The 26350-nt window shown below is 38.9% G+C and overlaps 1 long non-coding RNA gene across 1 annotated transcript; it reads left to right on the plus strand.

The window, feature by feature from the left end:
* Window positions 1-11669: 11669 nt before the first annotated feature.
* On the plus strand, window positions 11670-25850 carry LOC107985811 (uncharacterized). The gene is made up of 3 exons (XR_001739192.2): window positions 11670-11808; window positions 20733-20857; window positions 25323-25850. It is a non-coding gene; the product is annotated as an uncharacterized LOC107985811 (long non-coding RNA).
* The last annotated feature ends 500 nt before the right edge of the window (window positions 25851-26350 follow it).

Below are 26350 nucleotides of genomic sequence, written 5' to 3' on the forward strand. Positions count from 1 at the left end.
AAAGCTTCAAAGAACAGGCTGACTCACTTGTTAAAGGCTGATGCAGCTGGTGACTTTAAGGTAAGTTGAAGCCAGTGCTCATTTACCATTCCCTAAATCCTAGAGCCCTTAAAAATTATGAAGTCCCATTCACAATTGCTACAAAAAGAATAAAATACCTAAGAATACAGTTAACAAGGGAAGCGAAGGACCTCTTCAAAGAGAACTACAAACCACTGCTCAAAGAAATCAGAGAGGACACAAACAAATGGAGAAACATTCCACACTCATTGGATAGGAAGAATCAATATCATGAAAATGGCCATACTGCCCAATGTAGTTTATAGATTAAATGCTATTCCCATTAAACTACCACTGACATTCTTCACAGAATTAGATAAAACTATTTTAAAATTCATATGAAACCACAAAGAGCCTGAATAGCCAAGATAATCCTAAACAAAAAGAACAAAGCTGGAGGCATCATGCTCCCTGGCTTCAAACTATACTACGAGGCTGTAGTAACCAGAACAGTATGATACTGGTACAAGAACAGACACGTAGACCAATGGAACAGAATACAGAACTCAGAAACAAGACTGCACACCTACACCATTTGATCTTCAACAAACTTGACAAAAACAAGCAATGGTGAAAGGACTTCCTATTTAATAAACGGCACTGGGAGTGCTGGCTAGCCATATTTAGAAAAGTGAAACTGGACACCTTCTTTACACCACATAGAAAAATTAACTCAAGATGGATTAAAGCCTTAAATGTTAAACCCAAAACTATAAAAACTCTAGAAGAGGCCAGGCGCAGTGGCTTACACCTGTAATCCCAGCACTTTGGGAGGCCGAGGCGGTCGGATCACAAGGTCAGGAGATCGAGACCATCCTGGCTAACATGGTGAAACCCTGTCTCTACTAAAAATACAAAAAAAATTAGCCGGGCGTGATGGCAGGCACCTGTAGTCCCAGCTGCTCGGGAGGCTGAGGCAGGAGAATGGCGTGAACCCAGGAGGCAGAGTTTGCAGTGAGCCGAGATCGCACCACTGCACTCTAGCCTGGGCGACAGACGGAGACTCCGTCTAAAACAAAAAACAAAAAACAAGAAACAAAAAACACCTCTAGAAGAAAATCTAGGCAGTATCATTCAGGACATAGGCACAGGCAAAAATTTCATGACAAAAATGCCGAAAGCACATGCAACAAAAACAAAAATTGACAAATGGGATCTAATTAAACTAAAGAGCTTCTGCACAGCAAAATAAACTATCAGAGTGAACAGACAATCTACAGAATGGGAGAACATTTTTGCAATATATCCATTTGACAAAGGTCTAATATCCACTCTACAAGAAACTTAAATTTACAAGATAAAAACAAGGCCAGGCATGGTGGCTCATGCTTGTAATCCCAGCACTTTAGGATGCCAAGGCAGGAGGATTACTTGAGGTCAGGGGTTTGAGACCAGCCTGGCCAACATAGTGAAATCCTGTCTCTATTAAAAACACAAAAATTAGCTGGGCGTGGTGGCACACGCCTGTAATCCCAGCTACTTGGGAGGCTGAGGCAAGAGAATCACTTGAACCTGGGAGGCGGAGGTTACAGTGAGCCAAGATCTCGCCACTGCACTCCAGCCTGGGCAATAGAGTGAGACTCCATCTCAAAAAACAAACAAACAAACAAACAAGAAAACCCCATTAAAAATTGGTCAAAGGACGTGAACAGACATATGAAAAAGAGCTCAACATCACTAATCTTGAGAGAAATGCAAATCAAAACCACAATGAGATACCATCTAATGCCAGTTAAAATGGCTATTATTAAAAAGTCAAGAAACAACAGATGCTGGCAAGGTTGCACAGAAAGAACACTTTTACACTGTTGGTGGGAGTGTAAATTAGTTCAACTGTTATGGAAGATGGTGTGGCAACCTCTTAAAGATCTAGAGGCAGAAATACCATTTGACTCAGCAATCCCATTACTAAGTGTACACCCCCAAATATATAAATTATTCTATTATAAAGGTATATGCATGCGTATGTTCATTGCAGCACTATTCACAATAGCAAAGACATGGAATCAACCCAAATACCCATCAATGATAGACTGGATAAAGAAAATGTGGTACATATACACCATGGAATACTATGCAGTCATAAAAAGGAATGAGATTATGTCCTTTGCAGGGACATGGATGGAGCTGGAAGCCATCATCCTCAGCAAACTAACATAGGAACAGAAAACCAAACACTGCATGTCCTCACTTATATATAAGTGGGAACTGAATGATGAGAACACATGGACACATGGTAGGGAACAGCATACACTAAGGCTTGTTGTGGGGGGTTGGGGGAGGAAGAGCATCAGGAAGAATAATGGATGGGCTTAATACCTAGGTGATGGGATGATCTGTGCAGCAAACCACCATGGCACACGTTTACCTATTTAACAAACGTGCACATCCTTCACATGTATTCCTGAACTTAAAATACAAGTTGAAGAGAAAAAAAAAAAAAAAGAGAGAAAACCCTCATGGTGATGGTACTAGGAGGTAGGGCCTTTGGGAGGTGATTAGATCAGAGGGGTGGAGCCCTCACAAATGGGATTAGCGCCTTTGTAAAAGAGGCTATAGGGAGACTGCTTTCCCCTTCTGCCATGTGAGGATACAACAGGAAGGTGCCACCTTTAAAGCAGAAAGTAGCCTTCATCAGAAACTGGAAAAAAAAAAAAAGAAAAAAAAAAGAAAAGAAAACCTTCTGGAAAGGATTCACCACTCTAGAGGCCATTAAGAGCATTTGTGATTCATGAGACAAGGTCAAAATATCAATATTAACAGAAATTTGGAAGAAGTTGATTCCAACCCTCATAGTTGACTTTGAGGGGTTCAAGACTTCAGTGAATGAAGTATCTGCAGATATGGTAGAGATAGCAAGAGAACTAGAGTGGAGCCTGAAGATGTGACCAAATTGCTGGACTCTCATGATAAAACTTAAATGCAGAGTTGCTTCTTATGAATGAGCAAAGAAAGTGGTTTCTTGATATGGAATCTACTCCTGGTAAAGATGTTGTAAACAATTGTTTAAATGACCACAAAGGATTTAGAATATTACATAAACTTACTTGATAAAGCAGTGGCAGGGTTTGACAAGATTGACTCCAATTTTGAAAGAAGTTCTTCTGTGGGTGAAATGCTATCAAACAGCATTGCATAAATTTTTTTTTTTTTTTTTTTTTGTGAATGGAAGAACTAATCAATGCAGCAAAGCAAATTTGATTGTTGTCTTTTTGTTGTTGTTGTTATTGAGACAGGGTCTTGCTGTCTGTCACCCAGGCTATAATGCAGTGGTGCGATCATCGCTCACTGTAATCTCAAACTCCTGGACTCAAGCAATCCTCCTGCCTCAGCCTCCCAAGTAGCTAGGACTACAGGCACGCACCACCAAACCCAGCTATTTAATTTTTTTTTTTTAATAGAGATATGGTCTCACTACGTTGCTTAGGCAGGTCTCAAACTCCTAGTCTCAAATAATCCTCCTGCCTTGGCCTCCCAAAACTCTGGTATTACAGGCATGAGCCACTATGCCTGGCTCATTGTTGTCTTGTTTTATGAAATTGCCACAGCCACCCAACCTTCAGCAACCACCACCCTGATCAGTCAGCAGCCATCAACATTGAGGCAAAACTCTCCACCAGCAAAAAGATTATTACTTGCTGAAGTCCTAGATGATCATTAGCACTTTTTAGCAATAAAGCATTTTTAAAAATAGAAGTATGTACATTGTTTTTTTCAGACATAATGCTACGTACACTCAATAGACTATGTATAATATAAATACAACTTCATATACACTGGGAAACTAAAAGAATTGTGTGGCTCATATTATTGCAATATCAGTTTTATTGAGGTGGTCTGTAACTGAACTGGCAGTATCTCCAAAGTTATGCCCGTATATATGTTGCAAATATCTTTTCTCACTCTGAGGGTTGACCTTTTGCTCTTTCTGTATTGCCTTTTATAAGTAGAAGTTCTAAAATTAATTTTATCAGTCTTTTTCTTCATTATGAGTGCTTTTTGTATTCATTTAGGAAATCCTTCCCTAGTCCAAGGTCAAGAAGAAACAATCCTGTGTGTATTCTGTTCTCAAATCCATTGTGTTTTATTTTTGCATATGCTGTGAAAGAGGGGTCTAATTTCATTTTTTCATTGTGCAGTGTTATTTATTGGAAAGTCCATTCCATCTCCACTGCTCTGCAATGCCATCTCTGTCATAAATCAAATTTCACACAAGTCTGTTTCTGAGCTATTTGTGAGCTCTCTTTTTGTGTCTATTCATCTACTTCCCTATCCATGTGCCAATACCACATTGTCTTGCTCACTATAGCTTTATAATATATCTTGATGTCTAGTAATACACATCTTCCTCTTTGTTCTGTGTCTTCAAGTGTTTTGTTATAGTCTGAATTGTGTCTCCTCCAAAAAGATATGTTGAAGTTTTCATATCTCAGAATGTGACCTTATTTGGAAATAAAGTAATTGCAGATAATGTCCTCATTAGTTAAGATGAGGACATACTGGAGTAGGGTGGGCCCCTAATCCAGCACAAATGATGTCCTTGTAAGATGAGGGCTGTGTGATGACAGAAGCACACAGGGAGAATACTACGTGATGATGAAGGCAGGTTGGAGTTATGCAGCTGCAAGCCAAGAAAAATTAAAGACTGCCAGGAAACCACCAGAAGCTGGGAGAAAGCAAGGAAGGATTCTCTGTACAGGCTTCAGGGGAAGCATCAACCAGGAAATACAATTTTGGACTTGTAGCCATCAGAACTGTGAGACAATAAACTTCTTTTTGAAGCCAGTACCATCTGGTTGTGGTGTGCTTTGTTATAGCATCCCTAGAAAACTAATACAAGTGTCTTGATTGTCTTGGCTTTTTGCATTTCTATATTAATTTTAAAAGCAATTTATCAAATTCCATAAAAACTTATGATTTTGATAAGATTGCATTGAATTTATGCATAAATTGTGGAAGAAATGCCATATTTTTAATATTGACTGTTCCAATCCTTGGACAGTCTCCTCTATATTACTTTTCTTTAACGTCTCTCAACAAGGTTTTATAATTTTCTCTATAAAGGCCTTAAATATCTTTATTAGATTTATTCCTAAGTGATAATTTTTTAATGCTATATTGTAAATGGTATCTTTTATAAAATTAAAATTTCTATTTGTTGCTGGTATAAATAGATTTTTATATATTGATTTATTATCTAATACATTTGCTAAACTTTCTTGTTCTAAATGCCAACAGCTTATTTATATATATTTTTAGATTTTTGTATGTAATCATTATCAGCTGTAAATGATCATAATTATGTTTTTTCTTTTACTTTAATTTCTTACCTTTAATTTCTTGCTGTTTTTTCCCTCATGGCTGGGCCCTCCAGTGAAATGTTGACTAGAAACAATGATAGGAGACTTTCTTGTCTTGGTCTTGATCTCAAATGAAAAACTTTCAGCATTTAAGTATGATATTTATTGTATGTTTTTACCAATATCCTTTATCAAATTAAAGACTATTTCTTCTGTTCTTAGTTTGCACAGAGCTTTATTTGATGAAATCATAAATAGATGTTAAAGTGTATTAAGTACTTTTATCTGCCTATATTGAGATGACCATATGACTTTTTTCTGCTTTAATCTGTTAACATAGTGAAATACATTAATTAATGTTTGAATATTAAACCAACCATACGTTTCTGGGATAAATGGGATAAATCCAACTTAATCAAGATCTATTTTTATAGGTTGCTAGATTGTATTTGCCAATCCAGTAGAGCAAACTATTAGCTCAGGATTTTTGCATCTATGCTCATATATTAGGGTTCTCTAGAGAAACAAAACAAATATATACACAAAAGGAGATTTATTATGTGGAATGGCTCATGCAATTATGGAGGCTGAGAAATCCCACAATATGCTGTCGGTAAGCTAGAGACACAGGAAAGCTGGTAGTGTAATTCAGTCTGAGTCTGAAGGCCTGATGAGATTAGATGAAATGAGAGGTGGCAGGCCAGGCGCGGTGGCTCACGCCTGTAATCCCAGCACTTTGGGAGGCCGAGGCGGGCAGATCACGAGGTCAGGAATCGAGACCATCCTGGCTAACATGGCGAAACTCCGTCTCTACTAAAAATACAAAAAATTAGCCAGGTGTGGTGGCCGGCGCCTGTAGTCCCAGCTACTCGGGAGGCTGAGGCAGGAGAATGGCGTGAACCCAGGAAGCGGAGCTTGCAGTGAGCCGAGATCGCGCCACCGCACTCCAGCCTGGCAACAGAGTGAGACTCCGTCTCAAAAAAAAAAAAAAAAAAAAGAAAGAAATGAGATGTGGCAACTCAACCAGTAAGGCAGGAAAAAAAGGGGTGAATTCCTCCTTCCTCCACCTTTTATTCTACTCAGGCCCTCAGTGGATTGGATGATACCCAACCATACTGGGGAGGACAATCTATTTTACTGAGTCCACTGGCTCAAACGCTTATCTCATCCAAAAACACATTTACAGACACACCTAGAGACAATGTGTAATCCAGGCACTCCATGACCCACTCAAATTAACACATAAAATTAACCATCATAGCTCATAAGTGAGGTTGGCCGATAATTTTCTTTTCTTTATAATATCATTGTTAGGTTTTGGTATCACAATTATGCTAGCCATAAGAGATGAGTTGGACAGTATTTTCTATTTTTCTATTCTCTGGAAGAGGTTGTATATAATGGGGATTATTAATTCTTTGGGCGTTTGTTAAAACTCACCAGTAAAATCATCTGGACTTGGAGTTTTCTTTGTGGGCACACTTTGACTACTGATTTAATTTCTATAATGTTTGTAGGATTCAATATTTTCTATTTCTTCTGATATCAGTTTTATATATGATATTCCTCTAGGTTTTTATAAAATTTCATCCAAATTTTAAAATTTATTGACAAAATCTGTCAATAATTTGCTCTTATTATTTGTTTAATGTGTGTAGCATCAATAGTGGTTCCCTTTTTTACCTCTGATATTTGTTATTCATTCCTTCTTTATTTTTTCCTGATCAGTTTCACCAAAGGTTTGTCAATTTTGTTAGTTTTTCTCAAAGAAAGACCTTTTGACTTTATTGGCTTTTTTCCATTTTTTTTATTTAATATCTATCTACTCTCTCATTATTTATTTCCTTCTACTTTCTTCAATTTTCTTTTTCTTTTTCTAATTTCTAGAGACAAATGCTTAGCTTACTAATTTTTAGTCCTTATAATTTCCTGACATATTCAGTTTAAGTTATATGTTTCCCTCTAAGTATTGTTTTAGTTGTATCTTAAAGTTCTGGTATTCAAGTTTGTACATTATCATTCAATTTAAATTATTTTCTAATTTCTCTCATTATTTGTTTTCTTTGGCCCCTTTCATAATTTCTCAAAAAATGGCAAATTTTGTAGTTATCTTTCCAAAATGTATAGTGGGCATAGAACAACATTCTTTGTATGATTTTAGTCCTTTGAAATTTGTTAAGATTTGCTTTATGGTCCAGTATATGGGCAATTTTTGTAAATATTTCTTGTGTACATTCCACAGTTGGATTCAGTGTTCCGTGTATGTCTGGTACATCTAGTAAGTCAGTTTGTTAATTGTGTTGTTCAAATCATTTGTCCTTATTTTTCTATGTTTGTTTTACATAAATTGGGGAAGAAATGTCATCTTTTTAATGTTAATGTTAAATGTCTTTTTTTGTTGTTTTGAGATGGAGTCTTGCTCTGTCACCCAGGATGGAATGCAGTGTGGTGATCTCAGCTCACTGCAACCTCCGCCTCCCAGGTTCAAGCAATTCTCCTGCCTCAGTCTCCTGAGTAGCTGGGACTACAGACATGCGCCACCATGCCTGGCTAATTTTTGTATTTTTAGTGGAGATGGGGTTTCACCATGTTAGCCAGGCTGGTCTTGAACTTCTGACCTTAAGTGACCCACCTGCCTTGGCCTCCCAAAGTGCTGGGATTATAGGTGTGAGCCACCATGCCCAGCCAATGTTAAATGTCTTAATATTGATAGTAAATGTTCTATCATTTACTGAGAGAGGTATGCTAAATCTCCTAGTATGATTGTGAATTCCTTTATTTATCCTTGTAGATCAGTTTTTGCTTCACATATTTTGAGGCCATGTTAGGTATGTACAAATTTAAAATTTTGTCTTCTTGGTGAATTGAAATTTTATCATTAGGAAGCCTCTTTATTTAGAATACATTTATTTATTTATTTATTTATTTTAAGATGGAGTTTTGCCCTCGTCACCCAGGCTGGAATGCAATGGCGTGATCTCTGCTCACTGTAACCTCTGCCTTTTGGGTTCAAGCAATTCTCCTGCCTTAGCCTCCCAAGTAGCTGGGATTACAGGCACCCACCACTACACCCAGCTAATGTTTTGTATTTTTAGTAGAGAGGGGGTTTTGCCATGTTGACCAGGCTGGTCTTGAACTCTTGACCTCAGGTGATCCACGTGCCTCGGCCTCCCAAAGTGCTGAGATTGCAGGCATGAGCCACAGTGCCAGACACTTTTTTCCCTTAAAGTTGATTTTGTGTGATATTAACATAAGTGCACACAGCTTTTTTATGGTTATTATTTGCATGGTTTATGATTTTTGCATCTTTTAACTTTCAATTTCTCAATGTCCTTTTAAAATCCAGGTTAAAAATCTTTGTTTCTAACACTGGAACATCTAGTCTATTTACATTGAAGGTAACCATTGATATATTTTTATTTAATTATGTTATTTTATTTTATTTATTTCTGTTTGACATACCTGGTCTACATTTTTTTCTTTGTTTGCTTTTTTTCCAGATTGACTGGCAATATTTTTTAAAATTATTAGCTTTGTAGTTATATACTCCAGTTTTATTCTATTAGTAATTACACTATACATTCTAACATGCCTAATTTACTTATCAAAATCTAAAGTTAATAGAAACTTTGCCCTTCTTCCAGATAATACAGGTAATTTATTAATAGTATTTCATTTCCCCTATGGCTGACTTTATTTTTTCCTCCATTTTAACTTTTTGAGTAACTTCAACATCATTACTCCACAGAATCATTGAAATGGATAGGCAATTTATTACTAGGAAGACAAGATAAATTTAACATTGTTAGATACAATTTCCAAACCAGTTTTAACTGGAAATTCAAAATTTACTTATGTGTGTCTTCCATTGAGTTTTGGAGCTGCTAAGGAACATGGAAATCCGTGTATAAGTTCTTATATTTAGACTTCTAGAGATTTTAAATATAAATATGTATTTTAAGAATAGATTTTTTACTTTAGCATAAATTTGGCCCACTTATTCTGTGTAGCACTTGGTGGTTGTTTTTAATCTGAAGGCTACTGTATTTCTTCTATTTTGGAAAAGTTTATGCCATTTCCTCAATGCTATTTATTGGTGCTCCCATTATATATATGTTGGAGATGCCCAATGGATCTTCCATATTTTTTATAATGTGTTTGCACCTCTTTATTCCACCATAATGGGTTCTGGGTAAATTCCTAGTACTCTTTCAATATATCAATTCTGGATTCCATTATCTCAATTATTAAGGTTTTTGAAAACTTAAACTCTAATTTTTAATTTCCAGGATTTCTAACTGTATCAGTTTGTTCTTAACATTGCTATAAAGAAATACCTGAGACTGGGGAATTTATAAAGAAAGAAGGTTTAATTGGCTCACGGTTCTCCAGGCTGTGTAGGAAGCATGGCAGCATCTGCTTCTGGGAGCCCTCAGGGAGCTTTTACTCATGGTGGAAGACAAAGTGGGAGCAGGTGCATCTCACATGGCAGGAACAGGAACATGAGAGAGAGAGGAGGTGGGGGGAGGTGTCACACACTTATAAACAAGCAGATCTCATGAGAACTCACTCACCATCATGAGGACAGTACCAAAGGGGATGGTACTGAATCATTCATGAGAAACTACCCCCGTGATCTAATCAGTTCTCACCAGGCCCCACCTCCAACACTAGGGATTACAATTCACCATGAAATTTGATGTGGATGCAGACTCAAACTAAATCAATAACTTTTTTTTTCTTTTTTTTTTTTTTTTGAAATGGAGTCTTGCTCTGTCGCCCAGGCTGTAGTGCAGTGGCCCGATCTTAGCTCATTGCAACCTCTGCCTCCCGGGTTCGAGCCATTCTTCTGCCTTAGCCTCCTGAGTAGCTGGAACTACAGGCACATGCCACCATGCCTGGCTAATTTTTGTATTTTTAGTAGAGATGGAGTTTCACCATATTGGCCAGGCTGGTCTCAAACTCCTGACCTTGTGATCCACCAGGCTCAGCCTCCCAAAGTGCTGGGATTACAGGCATGAGCCACTGCGCCCGGCCAATAATTTTTTAAAAAGGCAATTTTATTGGAAAAGTTTCAGGTTCACTGCAACATTAAGAGGAAGGTACAGAAATATAGCTTTTTCCAACTTCCTTTCCATTCTCTCTCTCTCTCTCTCTTTTTTTTTTTGGATAGAATCTCGCTCTGTCATGCAGGTTGGAGTGCAGTAGTGTGATTGTGGCTCACTGCAACCTCCTCTTCCTGGGTTCAGGTGATTCTCTTGCCTCAGCCTCCTGAGTAGCTGGGATTACAGGCTTGTGCCACCACACCTGGCTAATTTTTGTATTTTTAGTAGAGACGGGGTTTCACCATGTTGTCCAGGCTGGTCTGAAACTCCTGACCTCAGGCGATCCGCCCACCTTGGCCTCCTAAAGTGCTGGGATCCACTCTTGTCTCTTATTTCAAGCAGTGTGACTGGATTTGGTCTTCTACCTCACATAGGATGCTTACAGTCTTGATTTCCCTTAAGGATGTAAATTCCTGTCTGCCTTTGCCTACTGCATCCACCAATGTATTGCTTTGTGTTTCTGTTACAATTCTCTTCTGTTAGATCCTAAATTTCATAAGAGCAGGAACTTTATTCTGTTCAGCTCAAAATCCTTTGTATAGAACAATGTCTATCACATTGTTGCTAAATAAAAACTTGTTAAGTAAATGAATGAATGAATATTTGGTTTCTGACCCACAGAAATGTTTGTCTTTTTGTAAGCTTGGCTACAATTTTTTTTCAAATTTCTATTTTATCTTTCATTGCTATAAACTTATTTGGGGTGGGGAGTGGCCCAAAACATGAATTTATGACATTATCTCGATCTGAAGTTGTGGCTGAATATATATATTAATACAGTTAGCTTTTTGCCTAATAGGAATGGATCACATGTGCTGCATTATCAGTCTTTGTTATATCTCACACAATCTTCAAATGCTTAAAGTTTTAATAATTTGAGCTTCACAAACTCAAAGTACATCTTGATTTAATTTTTCTCCATACTCTAATGGTGAATAGCATTAGAATTTTCATATGATATTTAACTTGATGGAAGCCTTTCAAAAATAGTCATCAAACATAGCTTGTCTAATTAGCCTTTTTCTGTATGATTGTAATTGTGAAAGGGCAGAAAGTACTGCAGGATATATTATGCCCAGAGAATTAATTAGAAGCATACCCCAAAGAAGATTTGGCATATGTGTTAGTTTTCTCTTGCTGCCATAACAAATTGCCACCAATTTAACAGCTTAAAACAATATCCATTTGTTTTCTCACAGATCTGTAGAACAGAAGTCTGGCATGGCATGGCGTGGCATGGATTCTTTGCTCAGAATCTCACAAAGCCAAAATCAAGGTGTTGGTAGGGCTGCATTCCTTTTTGGCGGCTATTGGGAAGAATCTGTATCCAAGCTGTATCCAAGGTATTAATCATGCCTTTTTATTTCTGTATTTTTGATGCTTTGACAACTGGGACTTTACTGGCGCTCCCGTGCCTGTACCTTCTAGGGCTAGCCAATTCCTAGAGATAGTAAATGACTTGCCTTTGAGTGTACCTTTCATATGCAGATTAGCAAACTCAGAGCCCATACCCTAACCACCTCATTTATCAGACTCACACTCAGGACCTCTTTCCACTTGCACAATTATCCCAGGGCCCAGGTACCAGGCACGTGGGGAAAACCTCTATTCTCCAGAACCCAATGTAATTTTTCTAACTAGCCAGTTCTAAACCTTCATACTCTGCCTCACCCATTTCTTCCTATGGAAACCACAATTAGGATTCTTGTGTCCTGACCAACCCTGGTGCTTCCCTGTGTGGTGTGGCGTGCCCCCTCCTTTTGGCAGCTGTAACAAACTGTCTTTTTAATGACAACTGTCTTCTGATCTTTTGGCCCACCATACCTGAATAATAATAGGACTTACATTTTAAAGCACAAACTTATTCAGGTTGTTGTCAGAATTCAGTTCCTATACTCATGCCTCCTACATGGCCCCCTTCACCTTCGAGCCCACAACAGCACATTACATCTTTCTCATACTTTCAATTCCTTTGACTCCCTTTTCTATTGCATCTCTCTGACTTCCTCTCCTGCTTTTAAGGGTAAATGTGATTATTTGGGGTCCCCTTGGATAATCCAGAATAATTTCTCTATTTTAGGGTCAGGCGATTAGAAACCTTCATTAGATCATTAACATCCTTTTACCATGTAATGAACCATAACCATAGAAGTAATCCCAGGGGCAAAGATTAAAATGCATGCCAAAATTCTGCATACCACAACATTTTAGATGTTAAATAAGAAAAGAAAAGCTGGCTTCAAAATTTGGGAAGATATTATTAGAAGTTGTAATTTTTTTTATCTGTTCACATTACTGGCTGCAGGCTTTATTTATTTATTTATTTATTTATTTATTTATTTATTTATTTAAGAGACAGTGTCTCACTGCATTGCCCAGGCGAGTCTCGAACTCCTGGGCACAAGCAATACTCTGAGTAGCTGGGACTACATATGTGTGCCATTGTGGCTGGCTTACTGGCTACAGTCTTTGAGTTTCTGTGTTAAAAATTTCTATATTAAGATGGCTTTAGAATGGTATGATGAAATAATTACTCTTTGAGAAATGGACCAGTTAAGTATGAGTCTAATTTTGCTTCTATTACGCATAAGGGCAAGATATTAAGCTTGCTTGACACTTAGACTGTGTTCTCCTCTATTTGAAATTCCTAATATTTCTCCAAGGGGAAAGGTTAGGTGTTTTTGTGTTCTTTCATGCACAATTACCCCCACAGGACTCCTTAATACTCATTGTATTTTTCCATCATAGTAACTTTATATTGACTTCAACTGCTTATATGCTTATTGGGGAAAAAGTTCTGAGGCATAATTATACATTGATAGTTTAAAAAGTCTGACTTACATTGTCTAGTACTTGAACACAATTAAAAATACCTTATTTGCTGCAATTTATACAGGACCAAATAATGCAAATGTAAAACATCTCAAAGACAAACATTTTCCAAGATCATTTTGTCCCATTACCTGGGTGCCTTTTGAAATGTTTGCAAGTGTGTTCTTCTTGTCCTACAAGTGCTTAGTCCCTCACTTCCTCTAACCCTGTCTTCCTATGCCCTTTTCTCTTCCTTTGTCATTTAAAAATTTTTCTTATGTCTGCTCTTTGCTTTTTCCCTTCTCCATTTTATATTTATTTCTCTGTGTGCATGTCCTAATCTTGCTTTATGGATTTCCTCACTATGTGATTTCATCACTCACTTTGTTTATCCTAGTTTTTCAATTTCCTTGGATTGCTGTTTCCTTTTTCTTTTCATTGTGTTTTTTCCAACAAGCATTGTTGCCTCATATCATTTGCTCCTCAAACACAGTATTTTTTTCCAAAACATATCTATGCAATTTTTTGGCAAATAAACCTGTAGTACCCACTGAAGTCTACTGCTAGAAGAGGTAAGAGTAGTAATATTAGTGATAGTAATTGGCAATGTGAAGTTGAGTTTAGATATAGGGTCTTCCTCACCCTATTCCCAGTTACTCAAATTTTAGCTTTAGTTTTCCATCTTCAGAATTTTACGGATTGGAATAACATAATGAGGACAGATAACCATCCGAAGGTTAAGTGTTTTTCAATTTCTTGCCCAAACAGGAGGGCATGGCAGTCTTATGTGTTGGCTCAGGTTCAGAGGCATGCTTCTCATGTTTTTCATGCCTTTGTAAAAGAAGTTCAGAGTTGCTCCAGCCCTAACATCTCATATGCCAAGAGTTCTGAATTTATCCCTGTAGGGTATGCTGTGGTTAGTACACTATGTGCTTAATGAGTCTCTGTTTGGGGATAAAGCTTGACTCTGAGCTCCTTCAAATCTGAACTGTCATTATTTTCTCAATGTAAGTTACATTGACCGTAGCCTTGCCATTTGCTTGGTATGCTGCTCTGCTGCTGCTTTAACTCATGAAAGATGGGTGAAGTTTTCATTTGGCCATGGTAGTTTCAACAAAACCAGAGTTGGCTTTTGCAAAATCATTTTGCTTTTGAGGCCTGGCCTTTGAAAACCATTAGGATCTTTTGCAAGGCTTTTAAGGAAAATATTTTGTGAGAGTCAAGTCCAGTTTTGTTTTGTTTTTAAACTGCCACTATCAGGGGAAATCTGGGCAGAGGAATCAATTCCCCCTGTTTTCAGAGTTTAAACAATGCTGTACAAGATGCAAATGGGTAGCACTTTGCCTGTTAGGATCTTTCCACTACTTTTTCATCTGCTACAATTATTAAACAAACAAACAAACAAAAACCCAACAGCAAGTGATTCAGGTCTCTTTTTTTTCTTTGTTTCTTGGTTATTCAGGGCTTCTCTTCCCTGATATGACACAAGGAGCCTCCCATAAATGCCTGGCCTCAGAGATCCTCTTGCCTCGGTCCTCAATGAGTTATAGAGTATCATACTGTCTATGCTAGGCTTAAGATCAGGATCGCTAACTTGATGTAGAGTTTATATTCAGATTTCCTTTCTCTCTTTCTTCTTTCTTTCTTTCTTTCTTTCTTTCTTTCTTTCTTTCTTTCTCTCTCTCTCTTTCTTTCTTTTCTTTCTTTCTCTTTCTCTCTCTCTCTCTCTCCCCTTCCTTCCTTCCTTTCTCTGTCTCTCTCTCTGTCTCTGTCTCTCTCTCTCTCTCCCTTTCACCCTTTCTTCCTTTCTTCCTTTCTTCTCACTCTGTCACCCAGGCTGGAGTGCAGTAGCATGATCACAGTTCACTACCGCCTTGACCTCCTGGGTTCAATTGATCCACCTGCCTCACCCCCTGAGTAGCTTGGACTACAGGCATGCAGCACTACGCCTGGCTAATTTTTATATATTTTTTGTAGAATAGGGTTACGCCATGTTGCCCAGGCTGGTCTTAAACTCCTGGGGTCAAGCAACCTGCCTGCCTCAGCCTCCCAAAGTGCAGGGATTACAGGCATAAGCCACCATGCCCAGCCTCCCTTCATACTCTAAAACTTACAATACATTGAGGTACTAAAGATTTACACACACACACACATCTTCCACAGTGTGAAAAGAAAAAAAAATGTAACAGGAAAGATTTAAGCCCAAAATAAAGTAGAATTTATTTTCTTTCTTTTTCTTTAATTCCTTCCTTCTTTCCTTTTTTTAAAGACAGGTCTCTCTCTGTTACCCAGGCTCTAGTGCTATGGCATGGTCACAGCTCACTGACCTCCTGGGCTCAAGGGATCCTGTCATCTCAGCCTCCTGAGTAGCTGGGACTATAGGCACGTGCCACTATGCCTGGCTAGTTTTTAAAATTTTTTTTGTAGAGATGGAGTCGGGGTTGGGGGTGGTCTCACTATATTGCCTAAGCTGGTCTTGAATTCCTGGCCTCAGAGATCCTCTTGCCTTGGTCCTCAAAGTGTTGGGATTGGAGGCGTGAACCATCCCACCTGGCCTAAAGTCGAATTTCTTGAATGCTGAGATTATTAAGGGATTTAGTATTGATAGAGAATCCACTATCTACCTACACTTACATATATCATCTTATTTAATTCTGCTAACTACCATGTGAGGGAGGTATCACATTCCTCATTTTATAAATTAAATGAGAACTGAGAGAATTAGAAGTATTTAAGGTAACTGGGAGTGAGGAACACTAGGTCTGTCCTTCTCGAAGGTTTATGTTCTTTTCAGCACAGTGGCTAGAATAGATTTTGAGTTTTTCCCCCCTAAAAGCCTTTAAATTCTTATTTGCAGTAGTTCAGGATCATTTAATGGAAGTCTGGAGGTGAAAATAATGGAAAGATAGCTCTTGGAGGTGCCAGGAGATCTGGGTTGTAGAGCTGGTACTAGTTTCCACATGTGAAAGTAGAGACACGGCTGCTTATTTTGCCTGGATCTTGTCAGTTGCAAAGCAATCTTTACAGGCAAGGTCCTATTGAGTAAGAAAATGTCAGCCATGTTTTTTTTTTTTTTTATGGAGTAAACAGAACACAGTTTGAGGTTTTCCTCCTACTACTCACTTTACTAGATTCTCTACCTCTGGTGAAAAGTGATTATGATTAAAATTCACAAACTCATGAATCAAGAAGACATGAATAGTCAGCATAACTCATGCCTGTTGCCTTGCTTAGGATTACTAAATCATTAGAACAGGGAGAGAATGACTCCTGTCTTGTGGCAAAAAGTTAAAAACATGGTAACTTTGGAATTTAAGCCAGAATCATAGGTCTTGTTGTCAGGTAGGCCCTCATGAAGTAATCCGCCTCAATCCCACTTTTGGCCAGGCAAGGTATAAATTCCTACTTTATGGATAAAATAACAGAGGCTAAGAGGTTACACTTGGTAAGTTGCAGAAGAGTGCCATGAGAGGGGAGTTGGGAGTAGAATCGTCTCCAAGAGCAATCTTCTTCCTACTGCAAAACACCAAAGCAAGTCCTGGTGTCAGAGATGTCTCTTTTCTAACGGATCACTTAGTTTTGCATTCCCCAACCAGGGAATGATCTGTCTCCTCACCTTCTAAGTCAACCACTGAGGCTAATCTACAAATGATAACTAAAAATCTTTGAAATGAAAGGAACTTCCATAGTAGTGCTCTCTAACAGAACTTAAAACACCTGCATTGCATATGCTGGCCCTAGATCACCACATCCAGAACACCTGGGTTAATTCCTGTAGTTTTAGAAACAGGTTATTCATTGCTTTTATGTGAAGTAAGTAGTGAGTGTCGCAGATTTTTCCCACAAAACTTCTCTTGGTAGCCTCTTTTTACTTCAGGTGTTTAGAGTCTGCTATCTTATTAATCATTCAGTAAACCAAAATGTGAACATTTCACAAGTCTCTGATTGTACCTGGTGTATGTGCCTCTGTGCACCATTCCCCCGTTCAATGTTGTTTCATACTGGAATGGCCCTCATCAGGGTAAGTTCTTGCCAGCTGTTTGTTAGGAACTCTGTGAAGAGGATCCAGGCATAAGATTAAGATTCAAACTATATGAGTTTCTGGGGTCTCTTAATTCTGTGAAACTATGGTTTTGTGATATCAACATTGGTCAACTGAGAGCCATGAACCATAGATAACCACTCGTTAGTGATAGTGATCAGTACAGACAGCCACTTTGAGTTAGTGTGTGTGTGTTTTTAAATGGGGCTTATGTTTTAAATGCCTCACGAACTTTCAAAGGGGCACTGAGAGAGTTATATCTTTAAATGCTATCGGATAGTGGCACAGTAGCCTTAAAGATGATAGGAATAGGATAAATTTGTTAATTTCACTGCTTGGCAATTAGGTTAACCATAGTTACCCTAATTTTCCCTTCATCTTCATGGTTATAACAAATGTTTTATGTAAAGGGACAGATAGTAAATATTTAGGCTTTCTGGGTCACTTAAGATCTCTGTCACATATTGTCATTTTTTTTTTCCTCCTTCTTCTCTTTCTCTTATTTGTCCTCCTTGTCCTCAATTCTTTAAAAACCATCCTTAGCTTGGAGACAGTACAAAGGCAGGATATAGGCCACTTTTGGCTCAGGGGCCAATAGATTTCTAACTCCTAGGCTATATCATAGTTGTTTCTTTTTTAAACACTTCACTATTAATGGAAAGTTAGGTTGTTCACATTTTTCACTGTTTCAAGAAATGCTGTAGTTAAACTCCTACTACTTGTGTTTTTGTGGATATATGCTGAATTAGTCCATTTTCATGCTGCTCATAAAGACATACCTGAGACTCAGTAATTTACAAAAGAAAGAGGTTTCATGGACTTACATTTCCACATGGCTGGGGAGGCCTTACAATCATGGCAAAAGGCAAGGAGGAGCAAGTCACATCTTATGTGGATGGCAGCAGGCAAAGAGAGAGCTTATGCAGGGAAACTCTTGTTTTTAAAACCATCAGATCTTATGAGACTCATTCACTATCATGAGAACAGCGCAGGAAGGACCCACCCCCATAATCCAGTCACCTCCCGCTGGGCTCCTCCCATGACATGTGGGAATTGTGGGAGTTACAATTCAAGATGAGATTTGGGTGTGGACACAGCCAAACCATGTCATATGCTAATAGAATCCTAGAATTGTAATAAATGGTTAAAGGGTATTTGTATTTATATTGAGATGGATATTGCCAAAATAACCTTTGCAAAGTTTGTACCATTTATATGTCCACAGATAAGAGTGTGAGAGTGCTATTCCCTACACCCTTGTAAAAACTTGATATTATCAAACTTTTGAATTTCCACCCATCTGATGAATAAAAATTAGTACTTCACCTAAAAAAATTGTATTTTCCTCATTCTTAGCAATGTCAGGAATCTTTTCATGTGTTTATCAGGCATTTAAATGTATTTCCTGTGAATTTCCTGTTCACTAGTTTTTTGTCCTTTTCCTATTAACTTGGAGAGTTCTCATTAATTCTTTATTTTACATGCTGTAAAACTTCCAAGTCTGTCAGTTGTCTTTTAACTCTGCTTAGAAATTTCATATTTTTATTTTATACAAATGAATGATCCTTTACTTTGTGACTTCTGGGGATGTTGTGTCTTGCTTTGGATGTGTCATTATCAGATGAGAAATATGTATTTATGATAGGATATTTGACAAAATTCCTATCAGGATTTGATGTAAGGAAAACATCAGTTTCTTTCAAACAACTTCTATGCTTTTTTGTCTTGGTTGTTAGGAAACTCAGTTAAATTGATGATTAAAGTTTGATAACTATCTTACTTTTTAAGCAATGCAACGGATAACACACATTGTCAGTGTTAAACGGTGGTTACAAACCTGAAAACCAAGACTGGGGATAAGCTGGGCACTATGAAAAGCTAACTTCCAAATCAAAATCTATGGCATAGAAATATGACATCAGGAGACCCTAAATATGAATGGATCAGCTTTGAGAATTTGAGTTTGTGACAAACTTGATCAGCAGTACAAGGGCGTTGGTGGGAAGCAAGGCCTGGAAATAAGGATGGATGCATGAAATCTAGGGCAGTCTGTAGCCATATGTCCTGAACCTGTGAGCTCACAACTTCTCCAGGCTCACAATCCTTTATCCACAATTCAGAAACCCAAAAAGCTCTAAAAACCCAGGCTTAAAAAAAATTTTTGTTGTCAAAATCTGACCTAAATGGTTGTGAGACCACTTAAAGTCTTTATTCTACTTAGTTTTAAAATTCACACATTTTGTGGTATAAATAACAATGTGATTGATTTTACATTGTTGCTCCTGGCCTTACTGGAGGGTATTGTGTAATATATGGTATATGTATCTCTTAACCTTTCTGGAATAAAAAAGTTGTAAATTCTGAAACATATCTGCTCTCAAGGGTTTTTCCTAAGAAATTGTAGACTTGTAATAAATATCTTACCTGAAGGCCCAGGCACAAATAGTTCCCTTCTTGCCTCTTTATGGTTTCTGATTTGACTTTCTAACATTATTTTTAATGATTCTGATGCATATGCATTTTTAGTATGAGCTCTCAATTTTTTTGGCAATAGAGGTCCCCTAAAAGGATCCACACTAATCCTTGCCCTTATGTAGTACCATCCTATATTAAGTCAGAGCTGCTCTGTGTGCCCATATAGAATATGGACAGATGTGAAGATGTTAGACTTTGGAGGCTAGGTTATAAAAGGCATTTCAGCTTCTCCCTTGATCTCTTGAATCTCTCTGCTTCTGGGGGAAGCCAGCTGCTATGTGGTGAAGACACACAGAGCTGCAAGGAGAGGCCCAAAAGGAGAGGAGCAAATTTGCCAGCCACATGAGCAAGACATCTCAAAGTGGATCCTTCAGCCCCAATCAAGCCTTCAGATGATTGTAGTCCTTACATACACCTTGACTGCAAAGTTATGAGACACCCTGAGTCACAACTGCCCAACTAAGCCTCCCCCATATACATGAGCCCCAGAAATTATGAGAATAATATATGACTATTATCCTTTTAGACACTAAGCTTTTAGGTGATTTGTTATGCAGAAATAGATAACTAAAACACTGAGTAATAACTAATAAATAATGGATTAATTAAAAAGTCTACAGTTTGGAAACTGTTTTCTATGGAGCCCCAAAACTAATAGATTTAGTGTGTTATTTAATTTCGGAATTTTATTTCCTGCATAATTTGCATATTGACTTAATCTGGTATTTTATGTATTTAATATTTTGCCCCTTTTTCCCCCTTCTCTGTCTCATAGAACTGCTGTTATAGTCAAATTTTTATAAAACCTCTTCTTTTGGGACTGTTCTGATTAGGGTTCAGAAATAGTTTTGTATTGACTACTCATTACTGTGTAACAAGCTACCCCAACACTCAGTGTTTTAAGACAATGACAATTTACTGTATCTCATGACTCTGCAGATTGACTGGGCAGTTCTTCTACTGGTCTTGCTCAGATTCCCTCACAGAGCTGGTTCTACTGGAGCTGGAGAGTCTAAGATGGTCTCACCATCATGTTTGGGACCTTGACAGGGATGATTGCAAAGGTAGGACCTCCTTCTTCACAGAGTCTTTCCTTGGCATTTAACCCCAAGATTTTTTCCATGGTGGCTGGGTCCTAACAGAGCAAAGGTAGAAGCTCTAAGGAGTCTTGAGGTCGAAGGTCTGGAACTTTCACAGTGTCACCTCTATTACATTCTAAAGGTCAAAGCAAGTTACAAAGCCAGCCCAGATTCAAAGGGATGAGGAAAAAGTCTCACCTTTTCATCAGAGAAACAGCAATGTCACATTGAAAAAGGGGCACAGGCACAGGGAGAAGTGATTCATTGAGGCACATTATTATAATGATAAACCACAAGCTTTATTAAGAGAGACATAAATCCTAAATTAAGATTCTGGTAGCTTGAATTCCTCAACACAGGGCCAGAAGATTCACAATGATTAAATTCATCAAACACACACATATTGAGAATCTACTATGTGCTGGCTCTAGAAAAACAAATTATATAATTCCTTGCTTGAAGCAAGAAACATACTTATTCCCCTAGTTTCTTTAAATGCAGTTCATTAGGATCAGAAAATGAGGGTTCTACATCAACAAAGCAACAGATATTTCTGGAGTGCTTTCTGTGCTTAGAATTCTACTATTTATGCCTGAGGTACTTTGCTAGGAGATGAATGTGGCAGCTTCTGAGAGATACTGATGCTCTCTGCAGATGTGTCTGTGGATCACACACGCTTGGCCATAACATCTGCCCTCAGGGTGTTTGATAGGGCATTGGAGTCCCGTTGGGCTCCACCTGCCTTTCCTCTTACACATTTTCCCATATGGCAAAGATGCCAGAAGTGAACTCTCATGGCTTAAAATAATTGGAGTAGGTGTCAGAGGGAGGTTATGGAATTGTCTGCCTGTACTTTATGAATAGAACAAAGTGTTGAGCATTAGATTACAGAGACCTGAGTAAGACATAAGTCATTAAATCATAGAGCTGAGAGAAAAAATGCAAGTTGTCTGGCCATCCCTCTCATTTAAATGATAAGAAAATTGAGACTCAGGGACATTAAATGACATTAAAATATCTATTTAGCAGCAGTCCTGAAACTACAACCTAGGAATTATGATTTGCTCTATGGTGTTATTTCAACTAGTTCTTACCATCTTAAAGTCTTATCTTCTCAAAGAAGAGAAATATCTAAGCCTCACTGAGATTTAACTTAGTATGTGCCAAGCAGTGTGCTAAACTTGGAGTTTCTCAAAGAATCCTCAACCAGAGGAGTGGGTGTTGTTAGTATTCCTACTTACAGGGAAGGAGAGCTTTAGTAACTTTCCCAAACTGCCAATAATAATTTCAGAGGCAAGTTTTCACCTAGGTGTTCTTACTCAAGAGTGTGCTCTGAATCATTGTGCCAGTCCTACTCTACGCATGAGGGTGATAACACTGAAGAACCCAGAGGAGGCTGGGAGCCTGCTGAGGTTCCCTGTAAAGTTTTCAGGTTCCAAGTGGGGAGCGCTAGAGAGAGGGGACATGCACCCCTGGGGGCAGAACACAGCCTGGCTCATGGTAGAAGCTTAGGCTGGGTTTATTGAGTGAATGTTCAAATACCCCAGCTTACTGATGGACCAACAAGTCAGTAGAGTATGGATTATGAATAGAATCTTTTCTTTCTTTTCGTCTTTCTTTCTTTTCTTTCTTTCTTTTTTTCTTCCTTCCCTCCCTCCCTTCCTCCTCTCTCTCTTTCTTTCCCTCCCTCCCTTCCTTCTCTCTTTCTTTCTTCCTTTCCCTCCCTCCCTCCTTCCTTCCTTCCTTCCTTCCTTTTTCTCTTTCTTTCTTTCTTTCTTTCTTTCTTTCTTTCTTTCTTTCCTTCTCTCTCTCTCTTTCTTTTTCCCTCCCTCCCTCCCTCCCTCCCTTCTCCCTTCCTTCCTTCCTTTTTTTCTCTCTTTCTTTCTTCCTCCCAGGCTGGAGTGCAGTGGTGCAATCTCGACTCACTACAATCTCTGCCTCCTGGGTTCAAGTGATTCTCCTGCCTCAGCCTCCCAAGTAGCTGGGGTTACAGGCACCCACCACCATGACCGACTATGAATAGAATTTTTCTTTTACACTGACAGATATTGCTGATAACAATCTTGTCCTAAATGCATTAAAATCCAGCCATTCTATGGCACACATAATAGATCCTTTTTTCATAGTCTACTTCAGAAATAATTAGATTTGTGAGCCATTCATTCATTCATTCGTTTCATTCAAGAAATATTTTTGAACATGAGTTATGTGCAAGAAGACATTGTACTAGGCACTGAGCCACTTCAGGGCTACCTTAGAGGCTGTTTCTACTTTCCTTGTAGCTCGGATTGTGTCATCCTATTTAAAATGGCTCCTGGTGCTTTCTTCTTTTCCTTTCTTGAGGTGACAAGATTTGCACATTCTTATTTAAGTTCACAGCACAAGTAAAATTAGAAAGTCATATGTCTCACATGATTTTAGATCTGGCATTTTTTTAAGGGGATCCCAGAAGGAAGGAGCATAAATCTGTCCTTGGCCAATTTGAATTCAAAATACTTGTTTTATTAGAGGCTAACTGATGTAACAAAGCCACGGATATATAATGGCTAACACATAAAATAAGTTTATTTCTTGTTCACATACAATTCTATATGGGTTTTTCTGGTAGAGAGGTGAATCTCCTCCAAGTGATAACTGGGACACCCAGTTCCTCTCAAAGTTGTCACACATGTCCACATCAAGCAGCAGAAGGAGGAAGAGCATGGACGGTCATACATGTGAAGTTTTTATGGGCTTGACATGGAAGTGGCATACATGTTTCTAATTACATTCCTTTGGGGAGAACTCAATCACATTGTCAGAGTCTAATTGTGAGGGAGCCTGGAAAATGTACACCACCATATTCCCAGAAAAGAGGCAATCGTTTGATGAACAGCTGGCCAGTATCTGTCAAAGTGTTTATATACAACACCACACACACACACACACACACACACACGGGATCCTGTGAATTACAATATTTATTTGAAAAGAAGAGAAAGGACTGTAAAATCTTTGAGCTTATTTCACTTCTGTCTTAATACACTAACCCACTTTTAACCTACCCATTTCTTTGAATTTCACGTACTTAGAAATTTAAGTTTTTCATTTCATAAAATTAAAAAATTACATTAGCAGGTTTCTTTTGAAATCACGTTCAGACTTTTTGTCTTATAAATGAGAAATGAGGTCAGAGAGGTTAAAATAATTTGCCTAAGATCCCACGATTGATAAAGCTAAGACTTCCAGAGGTTTCTTGATTTTTTCCTTTATCTTAATTTGAAATAATATCAATAACATATGCTCAAACCGTTGTTACCTGTTTTATATTTAAACCTTACACAAAACAATTTTTTCAAATTCATTTTGTAGAAAGTCTGCTGCGAATATTTTTTTTTTCATGGCTAAAGAAGTTCTTACTATAACCTTTAGATGGCACAAGTTAGCTAATCCAAGGCTTTTTTGTAGCTACAGTAATTATAGGAGGTTAAAGAAAAGTTTATGGAAAACTGGAGCACTGAATAATAATTTAGATAAAGTAGGGATGTAATCAGCAAAATTTCCTTGCATTTAGAATCATTATTCTGAATGAGATTTTATATACAAGAGGCAAATGTTTAGAAGATTTTTCGGAGGTCCTCTAATTGTGCCAATGTCAGGAATAATTAGAAATAAATTACTCTTGGGATAGATTTTTGGGTACAAATTGGAATTGGAGAAGCTTTTCCAAAGTGGATAGAATATAAGTCTGGGAGATAGGAGGCCTCTGTTTTCCACAAGTCCCCAAATACACAGGACAAGTTCTCTCTCCGCTGGCTTATGCATGCTACTTATTGCAGCTCCTCATTTGCTAATTATTTATCTCACCTGGGTGTTCTGAAGACCTATATGACAATGACTGAAAAGCTTTTTATGTACCTCTGTAGGACAGGGCTACAGCACAATACTGTGCGCTTATTAGGGCTACAGGAATTGTTTGTAGAATTGAATTCTCCCACTTGATTTTCTTTTTCTCATTCCTGTGCCTTGGAGGAATGCGAAAAAGTAAATCCTAGGTGTTAATGAAAAATGGTATTTACCCAGTGCCTCTTATGTTGCCCCGCCCTCTTATAGATGGTGTGAGGAAATCTGCTGTTTCCTGAAATGTGGTTCGGTTCTGAAGACAATAATTAGCTAAGGAAAAAAAATCATACACAGAAGAGGCAATATAAAACCAAAACACTGAGTGATTGTATGCACAGTTAGTGCTTTTGTTGTGAGCATGAGCAAACAGTTGTCATATACACCAAAGAAAGCAAAAATGCATTGAATTGAGGAAGGAGATAGTAAGTGTTCCTTTGGTATTCACTTAGAATGTGCTCTTTGTCCTCACTGTGTCTAATTTTCAAATTTCTATGATTAATGAGTGTTGGAATCTGAATTAGAGTTTGAATATGCTAACTTCCTTTTTCCTGACAATGCCTGTTTCCAGGTTTATGTAACAATGCGAAGGAGGCAAAGCAAATCGATGGTGTTCCTTGGCTGTGCATGGTAGGTCCTTTCTTTTTTTTTTTTTTTTAATTTATTTTTTTATTGATAATTCTTGGGTGTTTCTCACAGAGGGGGATTTGGCAAGGTCATGGGACAATAGTGAAGGGAAGGTCAGCAGATAAACAAGTGAACAAAAGTCTCTGGTTTTCCTAGGCAGAGGACCCTGTGGCCTTCCACAGTGTTTGTGTCCCTGATTACTTGAGATTAGGGAGTGGTGATGACTCTTAACGAGCATGCTGCCTTCAAACATCTGTTTAACAAAGCACATCTCGCACTGCCCTTAATCCATTTAACCCTGAGTGGACACAGCACATGTTTCAGAGAGCACAGGGTTGGGGGTAAGGTCACAGATCAACAAGATCCCAAGGCAGAAGAATTTTTCTTAGCGCAGAACAAAATGAAAAGTCTCCCATGTCTACTTCTTTCTACACAGACACGGCAACCATCCGATTTCTCAATCTTTTCCCCACCTTTCCCCCCTTTCTATTCCACAAAGCCGCCATTGTCATCCTGGCCCGTTCTCAATGAGCTGTTGGACACACCTCCCAGACTGGGTGGTGGCCGGACAGAGGGGCCCCTCACTTCCCAGTAGGGGCGGCCGGGCAGAGGCGCCCCTCACCTCCCGGACGGGGCGGCTGGCCGGGTGGGGGGCTGACCCCCCCCACCTCCCTCCCGGACGGGGAAGCTGGCCGGGCGGGGGCTGACCCCCCCACCTCCCTCCCGGACGGGGCGGCTGGCCAGGCAGAGGGGCTCCTCACTTCCCAGTAGGGGCGGCCAGGCAGAGGCGCCCCTCACCTCCCGGACGGGGCGGCTGGCCGGGCGGGGGGGCTGATCCCCCCACCTCCCTCCCGGACGGGGCGGCTGGCCGGGCGGGGGGCTGACACCCCCACCTCCCTCCCGGACGGGGCGGCTGGCCGGGCGGGGGGCTGACCCCCCCAACCTCCCTCCCGGACGGGGTGGCTGCCGGGC

Source organism: Homo sapiens, chromosome 2 (genome assembly GCF_000001405.40).
Source record: "Homo sapiens chromosome 2, GRCh38.p14 Primary Assembly".
NCBI lineage: Eukaryota > Metazoa > Chordata > Mammalia > Primates > Hominidae > Homo > Homo sapiens.